The sequence below is a fragment of the Homo sapiens genome, chromosome 11 (assembly GCF_000001405.40).
Source record: "Homo sapiens chromosome 11, GRCh38.p14 Primary Assembly".
In the NCBI taxonomy this organism is placed as follows: domain Eukaryota; kingdom Metazoa; phylum Chordata; class Mammalia; order Primates; family Hominidae; genus Homo; species Homo sapiens.
In genome coordinates, this window is record NC_000011.10 from 108664762 (window position 1) to 108682534 (window position 17773).

The following is a 17773-nucleotide window of genomic DNA, read 5'->3' on the forward strand; positions in this document are numbered from 1 at the left end:
TACTCACGAACGCTTAGCAAAGTTGAACCTGGAGCAAATGTGTTAATAGCCCTTAAAGGGTCAGTGTATGACGTCACCATAGTAACAACAACAGTGCGCATGCGTTTTTTTTTAAAGAGCCGGCGTGCTCCCGGCTCGGCTCAGCTCGCCCCCTTCCGTGGAGTGCTGCGCCCCCGTTTCCCCAGGCTGCCCCTCCCAGCAGGAGCCAATTCGCCAATCACAGCCCTCCTTTTCCTGACGTCATTGGCGCGTGCCCCGGTTTCAAAAGCTCGGGGGCGGGCTTCTGAGTTCGCGCATGCGCCTCTGTGCGTTTGTCCCATGCTGGTTCCGTGAGTCTGGCCTTAGGTGTCTCGTGTCTGGGGTTGATCCGAGCTGTCGCCGCCGCCGCCGCAATGGGCAAAACGGCCAACTCTCCGGGTTCGGGAGCCCGACCCGACCCGGTGCGGAGCTTCAATCGCTGGAAGAAAAAACACAGCCATAGGCAGAACAAAAAGAAGCAGTTGAGGAAGCAACTGAAGAAACCCGAATGGCAGGTCGAGCGCGAGAGTATCAGCCGCCTCATGCAGAACTATGAAAAGGTGAGGCCGGCGCTGGGGAGGGGGCTCGGGCCGGCCAGCAGCGGGGCAGCGTCTCACTGCGGCGAGGAGTTGCAGAGTGGAGGCGGCGGATCTGTCACCGGGACCCGGCCGGGAATGAGAGGTCACGCCGGGTGCCACAGCTCAAACCTCTGCACCGTTCTGGCCACTCTTCTGCTTGCCACACTGTTCCTAAAAAAATAATAGAAATGCGGCCGTACCTAAGGGTAGGGAGACTAATGCTGTAATAGCTACAGTCATATTCATATTAATAATACTGATGACAATAGTGGTAATAATGACACCTACATTTTTAAGCACTCACCATGTGCTTACAGTAATTGTTTGACTTGATCTGAGGTATGGATATTAATAATCCTATTTAACAGATGAGATAATTGAGGTTCTAAGAGGAATGAAACTTGTCCGAATCTTTCACGCTTAGTAGGTGGTGTGGAATTGGAAGCTAGATCCATGTCTTTCTAATCCCAAAGCCTTTGCTTTTAACCATGAAGCCAGACTGCATCCCTCAACATCATCTATGCTCCTTCCTGTGGCCACCTCATTTTCTCCACAGGCTTCATGTCCCCATCCAAGAATTGGCCTAGAAAAGCTGGACCGCTGGTCTGTTTCTGTCACCTATCATCCCCACATTGTAGCTGGTGTTCCCAGATGAGTATACCTGTAATGATCACTTTGACCTCCTGACTTCTTCCCCCAACCTCCAGACTCCACAGGTCTGTCAATTCCTCTTTTCCCTTTCCCTAAATCCCATGTTTGTTGGTCTTCACCCACATCTTTCAGCTTCTCAGCCCCCTTCTAGTGCAGTACAATCAGGGATTTAACAGATGGAACATTCTTGTAACTAAGGTTGCCATTGTAACAAATTACCACAAACTTGGCGGCTTAAAACAACAGAGATCTTGAGGTCAGGAGTTCGAGACCAGCCTGACCAACATGGTGAAACCCCGCCTCTACTAAAAATACAAAAAAATTAGCTGGGCCTAGTGGTGGGTGCCTGTAATCCCAGCTACTCGGGAGGCTGAGGCAAGAGAATCGCTTGAACCCGGGAGGCAGAGGTTGCAGTGAGCCCAGATCGCACCATTGCACTCCAGACTGGGTGACATGAGTGAGACTCTGTCTTAAACAAACAAACAAAAAAGCCCAGCAACAACAGAGATTTACCTTGTCACAGTTCTGGAGGCCATACGTCTGAAATCAGTTTCACTGGGCCAAAATCAAGGTGTCAGCAGGGACTTGCTCCCTCCAGAGGTTCTAGGGGAGAATCTGTTTCCTGCCTCTTGTAGCTTCTGGTGGCTGCTGGCATTCCTTGGCCTGTGGCTGCATAACTCCAGTCTCTGCCTTCTCCTGTGTCAGTCTATCTCTGTTCCTCTGTTATAAGGGCGCTTACGATTGCGTTTAGGGCCTACACAGATAATCCAGGATAATCACCCCATCCCAAGATCTTTAATTTAATCACATCTGAAAAGTCACTTTTGCCATGTAAGGTAACATTCATCCCTTCCAGAAGTTAATACATGGACATGAGTTGGGATCATTTTCAGCACCACATCCTAGCTCCACCATCTCAGCAGACCGTAGAGCTAGAAACCTAGGAGCAGTCTTAGCTACTTCTCTCTTACCTACTCTTATATCCAGTCGGTCACACTGCTGATCTGTTCTGCTTACATTTTTCAAATGCTTCTTCATCCCTACTGCATTGTCTTCAGTCCCCATCATCTCTTGCCTGGATTACTATAGTAAATATTGCTTTCAACAGGGATCAGCAAACTTTCTCTGTAAATGATAGTGAATGTTTTCAGCTTTGTAGTCCTAAGGGTGGAACTACTCAATTGTTCCCTTGTAATACAAAAGCTGCCATAGAAATACTTAAATGAATGGGTGTTGTTTTTCAGTAAAACTTTAATTAGTGAAACAGGTGGCTGATGGGCTTTGTCCCCTAGGCCTTAAACCTTTTAATTTGTCCTCTGTACTTCTGCTAGAATGATTCTTTCCAAGATGAAGATCTAATCATTTTACTGCCGATTAGAACCCTTCCTTGGCTCACAGTTACTTTTAGAAAAATTGTCAAATACAGCGTGTCAACATGTTCTAGTCTGCTGCAGAGTAAGTTATTTGTGGTCAGGCTGACCTGGTTTAAATCTCACTCTTCAGGTATTGGCTAGCCAGGTTTCTTCATCCCTCTAAGTCTCAGTTTCTTCTTTCAAAAAACCGAAGTTATTAGCCACCCAGAGTGTTGTAAGGCCCAAATGAGATAATGTGTATACACCAAGTGGTACATGATAGGCATATATGAAGGAACAGCTTGCAGTTTTGTGAATTGTACATGCTTCTTGTGCTTCTCATCCTGGTACTTGATGTTTCCACTGTGTGCAGTGAGCATACCCATCTGCCCACTCTAAGGAAAGGTACTCTTCCTTCAAGATTTAGTGCAAACTTCTCTTCATCACCTCCCCTGACCGAGTTAGGGCTACTGTGCATCTGTAGCATTTTGTAGATACCTTTATGACAACATTTATCAACTGTCTGCGATGATTGGCTTCTTTAACTTTTTTAAAAAAACTCTCCTACTAGACCATGAACATTCAAGGTCAGCAACCAGTGATACACTCGTCTTTGCACTCCCCAGAGTCTGGTAGCACAGTGCTTGTCCTTGAATAGGTGCTCAGTCAGTGTTTAGATGTTGTTTGCTGTAAGACTAGACCTTTCCCAGGTGGCTTTGCTCTGGTTGGCAGCATTGGATTATTCTTTTTTGTTTCTTGTAATTGTGAACATTTATCAAACTTTTATTCATGCTGGCTTTCCGTATACTCACCACAAATAACCCTGTGAAATTGTTCCCATTATACAGGTGAGACAACTTTAAGGCACAGCAAGGTTAAATAATTTGTGTAAGGTTAAACAGCTAAGAAGTGAAAAAGGAGTTCTAAGCCAGGTAGTCTGATACCAGTGCACCAAACCAGTAGGCTTTACTGCATTGCATTTATTTAAATCCCATTTGTTTCATTGTTGAAGGAGCAGCTTTTTCCCCCGCTAAGCATTGTTCTGTTTTACTTCTTTAATTTTAGAAATATTTTCTTAAGATTTGGTTGAGAAATAAATGCAGTGTGAAATCAGTTGTCAAGGTTAGCAATACTAGGATATAATTATTTGAATAGCAGGATTATCATTCTCTAGGTAAACAAGGTGCAGGCCCTCACTATGTGGCTCCTCAGGTGGTAGCATTGTACATAAAACTTACTACATAGCCATGGTACACAGGTGGTGCTCAGTAGCCTCACTGGTGAACTACTGAACAATTTGATTCCGAAACCTTTTAAAACAATTTGACAGGCACTTGTCTAGGCGGGTGTGAGTATATATGGAAAAAAAATACGTGCCCAAGTCCCTAGGGAACCTGGGCATGTAGGGGTTGATACAGTTTGACACGTTATATTAGTATGCATAAAATGTTATAATAGTAAGTTTGTAACATGTACCTCAGTGCTGTGGAGTTAGAGGATGGTGTAATTAGGGGAAGTTGAGTTATCCTATACTGAGCTCCTTCTGGTCAGATGCATTACAAAAAACATGCTTCTTCTGGGTATGCTTCCCTTCCTCCTGGTGGTTGCAGCCTCACGTCTGGCTTGGGGAGCTGATGTGGGCTGGATTTCATCCCCTGCATCTCAGTCTTAGCAGATTTCATTGTGGTGCATACAAACTGTCCAGTGGTTTGCAGTTGCCAAGAGTGGAGCTAAGCTTTTTTTTTTTTTTTAAGATGGAGTCTCACTCTATCACCCAGGCTAGAGTACAGTGGCACCATCATGGCTCACTGTAGCCTTGACCTCCTGGGCTCAAGTGACCCACCCAACTCAGCCTCCTGAGTAGCTAGGACTACAGGTGCATGCCACCAGGCCTGGCTAATTTTTTTGGTAATTTTTGTAGAGATGGAGTCTTACTGTATTTCCCAGGCTGGTCTTGAACTCCTGTGCTCAAGCGAACTGCCCACCTGTAATTCCAAAGTGCTGGGATTACAGGTGTGAGCCACTGTGCCTGGTGGAGCTAGTTCTTGAATGATGAGTTCATCAGATAGAAAAGATTGGCAAGGATGTTCTAGGTGGAGGGAACATGGGGAAATACAGAGAGGTGAAAATGCATGGCATTCTTTGAGGGAGGAAATGCTCCTTGGAGTGTTGGATGCATTCCTGAGTTGGCTTCAGATGGGTTCGAGAAGAAGGTTGGACTGTGATGACATTGGAGGCTGCAGCATGCAGTATAATGGCTTCTTAAAGTGTCCACATCCTAATACCTGGAACCTGTGAATATGTTAGATGGTAAGGGGTAATTAAGGTTGCTAATCAGCTGACCTTAAAGTAGGGCGATTATCCTGGATTAGGTGGGCCCAATGTAATCACAGGTGTCCTTAGATGTGGAAGAGGGAGGCGGAAGAGTCAGTGTCAGAATGACGTGATGTGAGAAAGACTTGGAGTCTGTTGCTGACTTTAAAGACAGAAGAGGGTCACCACCTAGGAATGTGGGCAGCCTCTAGAAGCTGGAAAAGGCGGGGAAATGGACTCTGCCGTAGAGTCATCAGAAAATAACGCAGCCCTGCTGCCACCTAGATTTTAGCCAAGCGAAACCTATTGTGGACTTTTGACCTCCAGAGCTCTAAGGTAATATATTTGTGTTGGTTTAAGCCACTATTTGTGGTAATTTATTACAGTAACAGTAGGAAATTTATACAGAGGCCATGCTCAAAGACTTTATCTGGAAGCCATGGGAAGTATGTGGCGGGACTCTGTATAGAGAGAATATATCTGAGCTGTAAAGGTTGGAGGGTAAGAGATCAGGTAGGAGACTGGAGACTATTGGTAGAGTCTAGGTCTTGGGTCCTTTGAGAGGCAGATGACAAAATGGGATTGGGTGAACTGGAGCTTTAGGGGTTACAGGCACAGGAGGGGGAATGTCCGTGAAGGCTGAAGGAGAGGGAACAGGAGTAGGGAGGGAAAGGAGAGAAGGATGGAAGGAGCAGCAGGTAGGAAGGTAGGAAGAGTCTCAGACTGCAGCACAGTTCCAAGAAAGATTCAGCCAGGCTGATGGGGAGTCACTGATCCAAAATTGTCCATCAGAGGAATCCCCGGGCCTGCAGTAGCACTGCTGAGCCCCGCCATTGACTAGGAGCAGCCCGGGGGAAGCATGGCTTTTCCATGGTGGGTCTAGAGGAGGCACAGCTGGCATTGTCAGTCAACTATGCTTCTCACAGCAGGAGGGTGGTGTATTTCTAAGGGGTGGTGTGTGTTGGAGGGGCTGCTGGAAAACTGGGGATTGAGGCTCACTGAGAAATGTTGAGCTAGCTGTGTTAGTTCAGCAGCTGTTTTTACTATTGCTGAATGACTCTTTGCATCTGGGATTCATTTAGACTGTAATCAGCTGTACTGCATAGAAACTGCATTCAAATCCTGATTTTTTTTTTTTAAATCAAAATTTGGTCTGGTGTAGTTGAGGCGGTTTGCTGTTCTTCTCTTGACGGCAACAGGTGGAGCATTCTAGGGCGTTTCAATGCTTTTTTCATCAGGCATTATTCACTTTAGCGAGAAATAGGCATTACCAGAGAGTTGTGAGAAGTATAAGAGGATGGTCAAATGTCACCCTTTTCTCCTCCGCTTTTCAACTTTTCCAACAGCCGTGGGAAGCCTTTAATAAGGACCATCCCTGAAATATCTCTTCCCTGAATTCAGAAGAATAGTGAGACAGATTTGTAGACTGAGTATGAGTATTATGGAGATGTAAGTGATTTTTCCCCCCTAAGAAAGGGATAAAGGGAAGGAGAAAGAGTTATTTTTTTGAGGTAGAGTCTCGCTCTGTTGCCCAGGCTGGAGTGCAGTGGCTCTATCTCTGCTCACCACAACCTCTGCCTCCTGGGTTCAAACGATTCTCCTGCCTCAGCCTCCCAAGTAGCTGGGATTACAGGCGCACGCCACTGCATCTGGCTAATTTTTATAATTTTAGTAGAGACAGGGTTTCGCCATGTTGGCCAGGCTGGTCTTGAACTCCTGACCCCAGGTGATCCGCCTGCCTTGGCCTCCCAAAGTGTTGGGATTACAGGCGTGAGCCATCGTGCCTGGCTGGGTTATTTTCTTTGTAGGAACCGTAGCCATCTCCTGCTGTGGCTGCTATGTAATCCTTGGAATATAACAGAATATCTAGAGCAGGGTCAGCAAACTCTTTTTCTGTAAAGGGCTGGATAGTCTGTGTTAGGCTTTATGGTCCATACAGTCTCCGCAACAACTACATAGACAATAAATAAATGAATTATTGTAGTTGTGCTCGAATAAAACTTTACTTACTAAAATAGGCAGCAAATTGGATTTGGCCCGTAGGCTGTAGTTTGCTGGGCCCTATTTTAGAACATCAACAGAATCAAAAGTTCCTTTTCTTCGTCTTCTTTTAAAGAATATGGCGCCTGTAATCCCAGCACTTTGGGAAGCCGAGGCGGGTGGATCACGAGGTCAGGAGATCAAGACCATCCTGGCTAACACGATGAAACCCCGTCTCTACTAAAAATACAGAAAAAATTAGCTGGGCGTGGTGGTGGGCGCCTGTAGCCCCAGCTACTTGGGAGGCTGAGGCAGGAGAATGGCGTGAACCCGGGAGGTGGAGCTTGCAGTGAGCCAAGTTCGCGCCACTGCACTCCAGCCTGGGCGACACAGCGAGACTCCATCTCGGAAAAAAAAAAAAAAAAAAAAAAAAGGAATATGGTATATAGTTTTCTGTTGTAATGCTTGATTGAAGAGTGTTGGAGCAGTTTCATTCTTCTAAACTTTCCCTCCAGGAGGTTAACTGACTTTAGGAAGATAGATGTGCTGTGCAATGTTTTGTTTGAGGAGCTCGCTTTGCCTGTACTGTGTCTCTTGCTGGGGATTGAAGAGTGTGTTGGCAGCCTGCCTCCTTCTGTAGGCATTCCATTCCCTTTGAAAACAGCTTTTTAGCTGATAATACCACGAGTGCTAGAGTGAGCTACACCTAATTTTAATGCCTTGTTTGGAAGATTATCTTCTAATTGAGGTTCCTTGCTGGGACAGTATGTTATTTGAATAAACCGTTCTTCTAATGCTGGTACACTGATTCTGCCTCCTTTCCAGTGATATCTGAAATGATTTGTAGGGATTAAGACAATGTTTTAATATTTGTATTTTCAGCATTGGAGGGCACAGAGTAAACACTGCCTGGGCAATGTTAAGAATCATAGGAAAGATGTGTAGATTGTAAAATGAAGTACAACTGTCATCCTTTTACTGCCTAGAGTGTAATTTAAATAAATGAACCATACAAATGCAGCTTTTTCCTTTTGCGAATCATGTATAATTTGGCAGCATATTTCCAGAACTGAGCAGTAGTTCCTGCCTTCAGCATCTGTAATAAAATAATTCTCCTGAGCAGCTGAAATGAAATTCAGAAAATTGGGTTTGTGCTAATAAAGAACATCAGTAATGAATATTTGAATAATGTAAAGTTAGCAAAATGTTACTTATTGTGGCTTCAAAGCATGACAGACATTTCCCCTGTGTTGAAATAATACTCCTCCTTCAGTAACCCCAAAATGAATAGTTATCAGGTTGGATTTCATAGGCCACTGATTTATGGTTAAAACTTTGAAAGGATTGTGCTAACAAGAAATATTTCTCCAACTAATTTCACTCTTTTTTCCAAATTGTGTGTATAGAACTATTTTCATTGTGATCTGTGGTTTGTGGTAATTTTGTCCTTGTTTCTTAAATTGAGATCCCTTGAAGGATGATAGGAAGTAAATTTTCTTCCTAAAATTGATGTGGTTGGTGATGCTTTACTGTGTTCAACATTTTGGAGGTCAGATAGTAGTATGTGTGGTGTGTGTGTATTGGGTGACTTTTTTTTCCTTACCAATTGAAATGCTTACAAATGTATATTCGATTCAGGGACAGCCTCTTCAGGGCATATTTCGTTACAGAAGGAATGATGGCTTTTAATTAGAAGCGATGATTGAATTCAACCCTGAATTACCAAGGATGAGCTGGGCAATACAATGTAGAGAAGAAATGGCTGTGTCGTGAAACAAATGAGTTACCCTGATTCCTTTTTCTTTTTTTCCAGATAAATGTAAATGAAATCACAAGATTTTCAGATTTTCCCTTGTCCAAAAAAACATTGAAAGGTAAGTATATGGTGATCTTGGGATGTGTTATTGGATTTCTTGGCATTTTTGATAAATGGGAGAAGATTTAGAGGGTTTAGCCTGAAAAATCTTATTTTGGCAAATTTTGATATCATGAAAACCAATGAAAATAAGCAATATTCAAGTTTTAACAGTACGTTATTCTCATTCTTTCTGGACTAATTAAAAGAAAAACAAGTTTCCAGCATCCTCTGAATAAAATGAAATCTAATTTTGTTAGTTAAAATAAGCAAGGGAACAAACCAAGATGCAACACCCTTTGTATCTGTTTGCTAGGGCTGAGATGACAAAATATCAGACTGAGTGGCTTAAACAACAGAGACTGATTTTCTCACAGTTCTGGAAGTTGGAAGTCTGGGATCAAGATGTTGGTGGCATTGGTTTCCTCTTAAGGCAAAATAAGGGAAGGATTTGTTCCAGGCCTCCTTGGCTTGTGGATGGCTGCCCTCTTGCTGCCTTTTTATTTTTGGATACATAAAAATTGTATATATTTGGCCAGGTGTGGTGGCTCATGCCTGTAATCCCAGTACTTTGGGAGGCCGAGGTGGGTGGATCACAGGGTCAGGAGTTTGAGACCAGCCTGGCCAACATGGTGAAACCCCGTCTCTACTAAAAATACAAAAATTAGCTGGGTGTGGTGGCGGGCACCTGTAATCCCAGCTACAGGCTGAGGCAGGGGAATCACTTGAACCTGGGAGGCGGGTTCATGCCACTCTACTCCAGCCTGGGCAACAGAGTGAGACACCGTCTCAAAAAAAAAAATTGTATATATTTACAGTGTATACATGATGCTTTGAAATATGTATATGCTGTGGAATGGCTAAATCAAACTAATTGTATATGTGCTAATATTACCTCATCCTTTTGTGTTTAGAACTCTTAAAATCTACTTAGTATTTTTTCTTTTTTCAGTATATTTTAATTAACTATAGCAGTATATATTAAGAGAGATATATAATAGATCTCTCTTTTTTTTTTTTAAGATAGGGTCTTGCTCCGTCACCCAGGGTGCAGTGCAGTTGTGTGATCTTAGCTCACTGCATCCTCAGCCTTCTGGGCTCAAGTGATCCTCCCATCTCAGCCTCCTGAGTAGTTGGAACTGCAGGTGCATGCCACTGTGCCTGGCTAATTTTTAAAAATTTTTGGTAGAGATAGAGTTTTGCCATGTTGCCCAGGCTAGTCTTGAGCTCCTGAACTTTAAGGAATCTGCCTGCCTTGGCCTCCCAAAGTGCTGGGATTATAGGCGTGAGCCACCACGCCTGGCCTACAATAGATCTCTTGAAGTTCTTCCTTCTAACTGAAATTTTGTATGTTTGATGAACATCTTCCCACTCTCCTTACTTCCCCCAGCTTCTGGTAACTACCATTCTACCCTCTGCTCCTTTGAATTTGGCTTTTTTAGATTCTACATATAAGTGAGATTATGTGGCATCTTTATTGCTGTGCCTGGTTTATTTCAGTTAACATAAGGTCCTCCAGGTTCATCCATGTTGTTGTAAATAACAGGATTTCCTTTTTAAAGGCTGAGTCATATTCCATTTGTGTGTGTGTGTGTGTGTGTGTGTGTGTGTGTGTGTATGTGTATGTATATAACATATATTTTCTTTACTCATTCATGGACACTTAGGTTGATTTCATATCTTGGCTTCTGTGAATAATGCTGCAATGAACATGTGAGCACAAATACTTTTCAAAGTAGTGGTTTTATTAATAAACCCTTTGGATTATACCCAGGAGTGGAGTAGGTGGATCACAGAATAACTTGTCTCTCTTCACATGGTTTTCCCTCTGTGCATGTGGACCCTTGGTGTCTCTTTGTTCAAGTTTCTTCTCATAAAGACACCGTTTGTGTTGGATCAGAGTCCACCCCTATGGGGCTCTAACTTAATCAACCTCTTTAAAGGCCCTGTCTCCAAGTATAGTTATGTTCTGAGGTACGAGGCATTAGGGCTTCAACATAGGAATTTTGGGGGACACAACTCACTTAGCCTATAATACCATCCTACAGGGATCTTCTAAAGTATAATTCTTCCCTCCATGTTGCCAGGTTTGCAAGAAGCTCAGTACCGTTTGGTGACTGAGATACAGAAGCAGACCATTGGATTGGCTTTGCAAGGTAAAGATGTACTTGGAGCGGCCAAAACTGGATCTGGCAAGACTCTGGCTTTTCTTGTTCCAGTAAGTACATTGTCATTGGGTCAGACTGTCTGTTATACAATTTTATAACATTCTGTGCCCAGATGCAGATTATATAAAGAGATGTTTTCATGTTAGATTTCATGATAGATTGGCTAGAATGCGAGCTTCATCAAACAGGAGCCACATGTGTGTCTTGTTCTCACCATTTTCCCCAGGTTCTAGCACAGTGCCTTGCATGTGGCAGGCACTCAATAACTTACTGAATGAATGAACTATTGTGCCTTGACAAGTCATTACATTCTTGATGGAAGTGGAGTGCTCCAGTATGGCAGGTTAAAGTGGTTCTGTGCTGCAGTAGGACTGGTGGGAGACAGTTTCTGCTCTCACCCTTGTGAGCCTGCCAGTGGCATTTATACTTGCCACCTTGTTTAGGATAAAGCTGAAATATGCTCAGTTTAAGGAGCTTTAGGCATTTGTTGAGAATTTTCTGGGACATTGCTATCGGTCTTTTATGGCAGCAAAACAGTAGAGCTTCTTAGGCTTTCACTTCCATCTCTGTTACGTTGGTCTCCTAATTTTTCATTCCTATAAAATGACCCAGAAAAATCTCATTTTAGTTTTTGTTCCAAATATTGCAAAAACCACTTTTCTCTTAAATCCTAGTGTGTTTTTGCCCCCTTAAAAAAAAAGGCTCCCTATAGCTAGATAATTCAGTTACTATATAACTACAGCAGCTACATGGGTGAAAGTTTATTTACTTATTTTTATTTTTTTTTGAGATGAAGTCATGCTGTGTTGCCCAGGCTGGAGTGCAGTGGTGCAATCTTGGCTCACTGCAACCTCTGCCTCCCAGGTTCAAGCGATTCTTTCTGCCTCAGCCTCCCAAGTAGCTGAGATTACAGATGTGGGCTACCACGCCAAGCTGATTTTTGTATTTTTGGTAAATACGGGGTTTCATCATATTGGTCAGGCTGGTCTTGAACTCCTGACCTCAAGTGATGCACCCGCCTCCTCCTCCAAAGTTCTGGGATCAGGCGTGAGCCACTGCGCCCAGCCAAAAGTTTTAGTGTGGTTATTTAGAAAATGATAAATATTATTCTTAAGTGTGTTGTAAAGGTCTTTGGGTTGTACATACCTTTCACTGATAGCCAGTTTCCTGATGGCATGGCTCTGGCAGCAGCTGAACTACCGTGGGGTTTCTTTTCCCTTTCCTCTGAGTTGGGGGTGGATGGTTCTGATGGAAGATAAACAAAATCATTTACTTTGGACTGGATAAAACTTGAGTGGTATGCCTTCTGCTTGGAAGATCCCTTTGATTTGGAGGGGCAAGGTTGAGATGCAGGTCAAAAAGCTGACTTCTGATGACTTACTGAACATGAATTTGCTGTCTTTTTGAGGTGCTGGAAGCCTTATATCGTCTGCAATGGACTTCAACAGATGGGCTGGGGGTTCTCATAATATCACCTACGAGAGAACTGGCCTATCAGACCTTTGAGGTTCTCCGAAAAGTAGGAAAGAATCATGACTTCTCAGCTGGTCTCATCATTGGTGGAAAGGTTTGTCCTTTTGTCTATGTCCTTCCTTTCCTTCTGTAACCTATACTGGAGTACTGTGGCCGATGACAGGGAGGCAGCAGAGACTTCATCTAAACAGACTGACCTAGACCAGGGCCTCATGGGATAGTAGCACTTGGTGTGGTCGCTGCTATCTACGATCTGGTTGCCAATTTTGCAGGCCCAGAAAGTCCATTTTTTTTTGTCGGGGAATCTGAATTGATTAGCCTCTCTAAGACATATTTACTCTAATCCTGTAAAGTTATTTGTTGATATTCATTGGGAAAGATATTTCCATATATGAACTAGTACCTTTTAATAAGGTATCTATCTAAGAGGCTGAATAATTCAGAGGATTGCTACATCAGCAGCGTAAGAAAGGAAGGTAGACTCTTTAGAGGAATGTTTATAGTAGGTCAAGATAAGACCTGCTGCTCACTTTTGTTCTATCTTATAGCACATCTAGAATGCCTCTATCTGCTAGAATCTCCACTAGACTGTGAGGATAAATACTTCAATTTTTATGCAAACATGCACAAAAGAAGAAAGAATAGCATCACAAACCCTTACGTACCTGTTGCCTAACTTTAACAATTAACAACATTCTGTTTTTTCCCACCGCCTCCAGGACTGTGAGAAGTGGTTCTTGTATCAAGGAGAGAACCTCGGCTTTTTTCAGTTCACAAAGTACAGTCCTTGAGCGGTGTCAGAGTCTGTTCAATGTCCCTGGGTCCTGAATTAAAGAATGAGAGTGATTCCAGTTTATGTCAGTTCTGATCCAAATAGGAAATCCTGACTTGGAGTATTCATTTGATTATTTTTTTTTCTTAGCCTCAAAATCCTGGGTATGAATAAGAATTTAGAACTCTGAGCTCCTTATGTCTTCCTGTAAAGACTTTTATTTAGCCCAGAAATGTGGATATGGTTCAGAAATACAAGGGAAAAGTTATGTTTATTTCCAAGAGTATCTAAAATGTTGTGATGAAATGCCCATGCAGATGGCTTTTATAGCTTTGGTACACAGGCTGCTGAGAGTGATGTGTCTGTGTAATCAAAATAAATAACTGTTTTCAGGATCTAAAACACGAAGCTGAGAGGATCAACAACATAAATATACTCGTGTGCACACCAGGTCGGCTTCTTCAACACATGGATGAAACAGTATCTTTTCATGCTACCGACCTCCAAATGTTAGGTGAGTCAAATCAATTTCTAATTTAAAAAAAAAAAAAGCTCAGACTTAGGAGAGAGCCCTTATACATTTTTATGATAGAAATTTTATGTTAGATAAATGTTATGATTCAAAACAAACTTAAAAATTACTGAAACATTTTGGCATTTGGGCTCTAAACCCAGAAAGTAAAAGTAGACTTAAAAAAATCAGAAGAATGTATGTACGCTTATATGTGAAATTAGGCACGTTAGTATTAGACCATGCCAAGGTTTTTAACACCTGCTTCTAATAACTTGAAAGGTCAAATTGGCATTTTTTTAAATGAACTTTTTCTTTTTTGCTTGGGAATACTACCTGATGTGTATTTTTAAATCAACTTTATCTTTGAACATTTTTGATTTGTAGGAAAGTTGCAGTGGAGAGTTCCTGCATTATCCTTCAGCTGGTTTCCCCTAATTTTTTTTTTTTTTTTTTTTTTTTTTATACAGAGTTTCGCTCTGTTGCTAGGCTGGAGTACGGTGGCATGATCTCGGCTCATGGGTTCAAGTGATTCTCCTGCCTCAGCCTCCCGATAGCTGGGACTACAGGTGTGCACCACCACGCCCAGCTAATTTTTGTATTTTTAGTAGAGGCGGGGTTTCACAATGTTGGCCAGGATGGTCTTGACCTCTTGACCTTGTGATCTGCCCACCTTGGCCTCCCAAAGTGCTGGGATTACAGGCCTGAGCCACTGTGCCCAGCCTTCCCCTGGTGTTAATGTCTTACATGACATGGTACTTTTATCAAAACTAAGGTTAACATTGCTACATCATATAAATTCCAGACTTTATTCAGGTTTTACCAGTTTTTCCGCTAATGTTCTTTTTCTGTTTTAGGATCCAATCCAGGATACCCATTGCATTTAGCCTAATGTATATTTTACATATGATAGTTCAACTTGCATTTTCCTTTTTCAGTTCTTGATGAAGCAGATAGAATCTTGGATATGGGCTTTGCTGATACCATGAATGCTGTTATTGAAAATCTCCCCAAGAAACGTCAGACTTTACTTTTCTCAGCAACACAAACTAAATCTGTAAAGGACCTTGCACGCTTGAGTTTGAAAAACCCTGAGTATGTCTGGGTTCATGAAAAAGCAAAATATAGGTATGTACTCTTTGAGTCAATCAAGATAAATGTTTTTTACTTTTTTAGTTTAGGGATTTGGTATTTTAAATATCTGTTTTCTGGGAATTAAGACATTCTATGAGTTATTGGTTATGCAAAGCATAGTAAATATACCAGTTAAAATTACCCAAATTCTGCATATATCTTTAAATGTCAGGGTACTTGAATGTAGCATTTCCCAAAATGTGGTCTGGGAGGGGAACAAATGTTTTTCCATAGATGTTAAGAGGTATTTTACCATTTGCCAACACTACCTCTTAATAAACGAAGGGAGAAGGGATGAAATAGCAAATGGTGAGTCAAAGTGAAACAGTTTTATTTCTATTTCTCACAACCTTTAATATTTTCAGGGACATTGTGATTGTTGAAAGCAGTGGGAGGGAGGTGGATGTAGCTTGCTACATTTACCAAATTTTTTGGGTACGGAATCATCCTTTTTAGCAGGATTATGCAGTACTAATGTGTTATGGAACACATTTTATGAAGTGCATTAATATTTAGCAAAATACCTTTCAGTCTAAAATTCTAGCAACTATTGTTTTGTCTTGGTCTCATTAAAAACTAGAGCTTAAAGTATATGTGTTACAGTAAAAGTATGTATGTTTGTGATATGCAAGTAGTTGGGGAAATTTTTATTTATCTCTTTTTTTCGAGACAGGGTCTTGCTCTGTCACCCAGGCTGGAGTGCAGTTGTGTGAATATAGCTCACTACAGCCTTCAACTTCTGGGCTCAAACAATCCTCCTGCTTCAGCTTCCTGAGTAGCTGGGACAACCAGGGCATACCACCATGCGTGGCTAATTTTAAAATTTTTTGTAGAGTTGAAGACTTACTACATTGCCCAGGCTGGTTTCAAATTCCTGAGATCAAGCAATCCTCCCACTTTGGCCTCCCAAAGTGTTGAGATTACACTCAGGCATGAGCCACTGTGCCCAGCTGGGATATGTTTTAAGTTGTATTTTCATATGACAATTAGAAGCATATATATTTGGTATGAATCACTGCAGACTTCCAGGAGAAATGTTTTCCAGTAAATATAAAGTTGGATTTTTTGTTGAAGATAGCAATGTAAATTCAACTCTTCTATTATTTATATCTTAAAATTTTTATTTCTTCTTGCTCTGAAATGTTAGCCTAAAAAGAAATAGATTTGGAAAATGAATTGTGTTATCTGGAAATTCCTTAAATAGAGAAAATATGAGTATTCAGGCCCATCTTGACCTTGTATAATGTATGTCTAGGATTTAAAAAGCCTGAGACGAAGAGGCCAGATTCTTTGCTTCTGGGTGATCTTGGGGAATCTGAGTACTGGTATCTTTGACTTTCAAGAACTTGGGAATGGAATAGTAAGATATGTGAGGTATAGTTTTTTTCCCTTGGCTTACTTTCGAGTGGACATTGATCTCTTAAAGAGTTGAGATAGCTATGAAAATTTTTGTGACAATTAACAATTAACTTGAAAATGTAAAGACTGCTTGTCTAGGATTTTTCACTTTTCTCTTTTTTCTGTTTGCCTCCAGCCTATTTTTAATATTCATCAGACAGATTTTTTTAATCATTAGATGTCTCTAAGACCTTTCATAATTTATGCAAGTTAATTTGTACGTATTATTTCCTATCCCCAATTTCTGTAGGTAAGAGTTGGTTATTTTCTGTAAATTACAAAGTTTTAGAAAAAAACTACAAAGACTTTGATATTATTTCACAAATGATTTTTGAAACCCGGTCCCATCACTTATAAAAGTGTGGTGGACAAAATTTTCAGAAAAAAATTTTGGAAGGTAGACATGTATTGACATAATTTACAAAACCTCAGGTTATATGATAATGGCTGCAGTATTCTAATATTCCAAATTTATAGGAAACATAAAAAAGCAGATGCTCTTAGGAATTTCATCTAATGTCAATGTTAGCTTTTCCACTTTAGTAGCTTATCAATGTGGTTCATACACCAGGAGAGATAATAATCAAGAATATTTTAAGGTGTTAGAGAGTATCTACTCTCAAATTGTGAAGGACACAACAACTAAAGAAAAATTAGATCTTTCTGAAGTTGTAAGTCAGAGCATACTTAGAAAAAGTATACTAGTGTTTTCATTATGTGGTTATATATAGACAACTGGTATTTCTAATGATTTTATTTTTGAGAGAATATGCCTTTGGGCCATAGCAATTTGCTGTTTTTCAGTGACAAGTTGAATTCTATGGTGGATTATGAAAAATTTCAAATTTGAGATATGTCATGAGCTTATGTTATTAGGTATATACAAATTTAGAATTGCATTGTCAATTTGAAACATTAATCATTATGAAATGCTTCTTTTTTGCATGTATGTGCTTATTTTCTGTGGACAGTCTGTCTTTTTTGGTTTGGTTTTTTTGCCTTTTTCTTATTGGCTCGGAGGAGCCCTTTAGATAAATTAATTATTTATTTGTAATACGAGTAGCAAAACACTTCCCTACTCCCGGTGTTTTTTCATTTTATAAAATGTTTCTTTTCATCTTTACTAATTCTTTTTTGCCTTAAAGTCTAGTGTTTTTTGAGATGGAGTCTTGCTCTGTCGCCCAGGCTGGAGTGCAGTGGCATGATCTCGGGTCACTGCAGCCTCTGCCTCCCGGGTTCAAGCAATTTTACTGCCTCAGCTTCCCGAGCAGCTGGGATTACAGGTGCCCACCACCATGCCCACCTAATTTTTGTATTTTGAGTAAAGACGGGGTTTCACCATGTTGGCCAGGCTAGTCTCGAACTCCTAACCTCAGGTGATCCACCCGCCTCGGCCTCCCACAGTGCTGGGATTACAGGCCTGAGCCATTGTGCCTGGCCAACTTTAAGTCTAGTTTGATATTAGTCTACCTATAGCAACTTTCTTTGAGTTAGCATTTGCATGGTGAATCCTTTCCCATCCTTGTACTTTCTACATTGTTTACACCCTATGTTTTTAGATTTGTCTTTG

At 41.4% G+C, this 17773-nt stretch overlaps 1 protein-coding gene across 1 annotated transcript in view, besides 1 other annotated feature; it reads left to right on the forward strand.

Annotated features, from left to right (window-relative positions):
* DDX10 (DEAD-box helicase 10) overlaps positions 308-17773 on the forward strand; it is a 275859-nt gene continuing 258393 nt past the window's right edge. The window contains exons 1-6 of the mRNA NM_004398.4: positions 308-578; positions 8706-8766; positions 10835-10965; positions 12324-12482; positions 13554-13674; positions 14610-14799. Coding sequence (NP_004389.2) covers positions 393-578; positions 8706-8766; positions 10835-10965; positions 12324-12482; positions 13554-13674; positions 14610-14799 — 848 coding nt within the window. The 5' untranslated portion in view covers positions 308-392. The remainder of the gene's footprint in view (positions 579-8705; positions 8767-10834; positions 10966-12323; positions 12483-13553; positions 13675-14609; positions 14800-17773) is intronic.
* Positions 8598-17017: a mitotic recombination region, noted in NCBI's record as "NUP98-DDX10 recombination region recombines with the NUP98 intron 12 (DDX10) recombination sub-region of the nucleoporin 98kDa recombination region". NCBI's record gives the evidence for it as "EXISTENCE:Southern hybridization evidence [ECO:0000078][PMID:9166830]".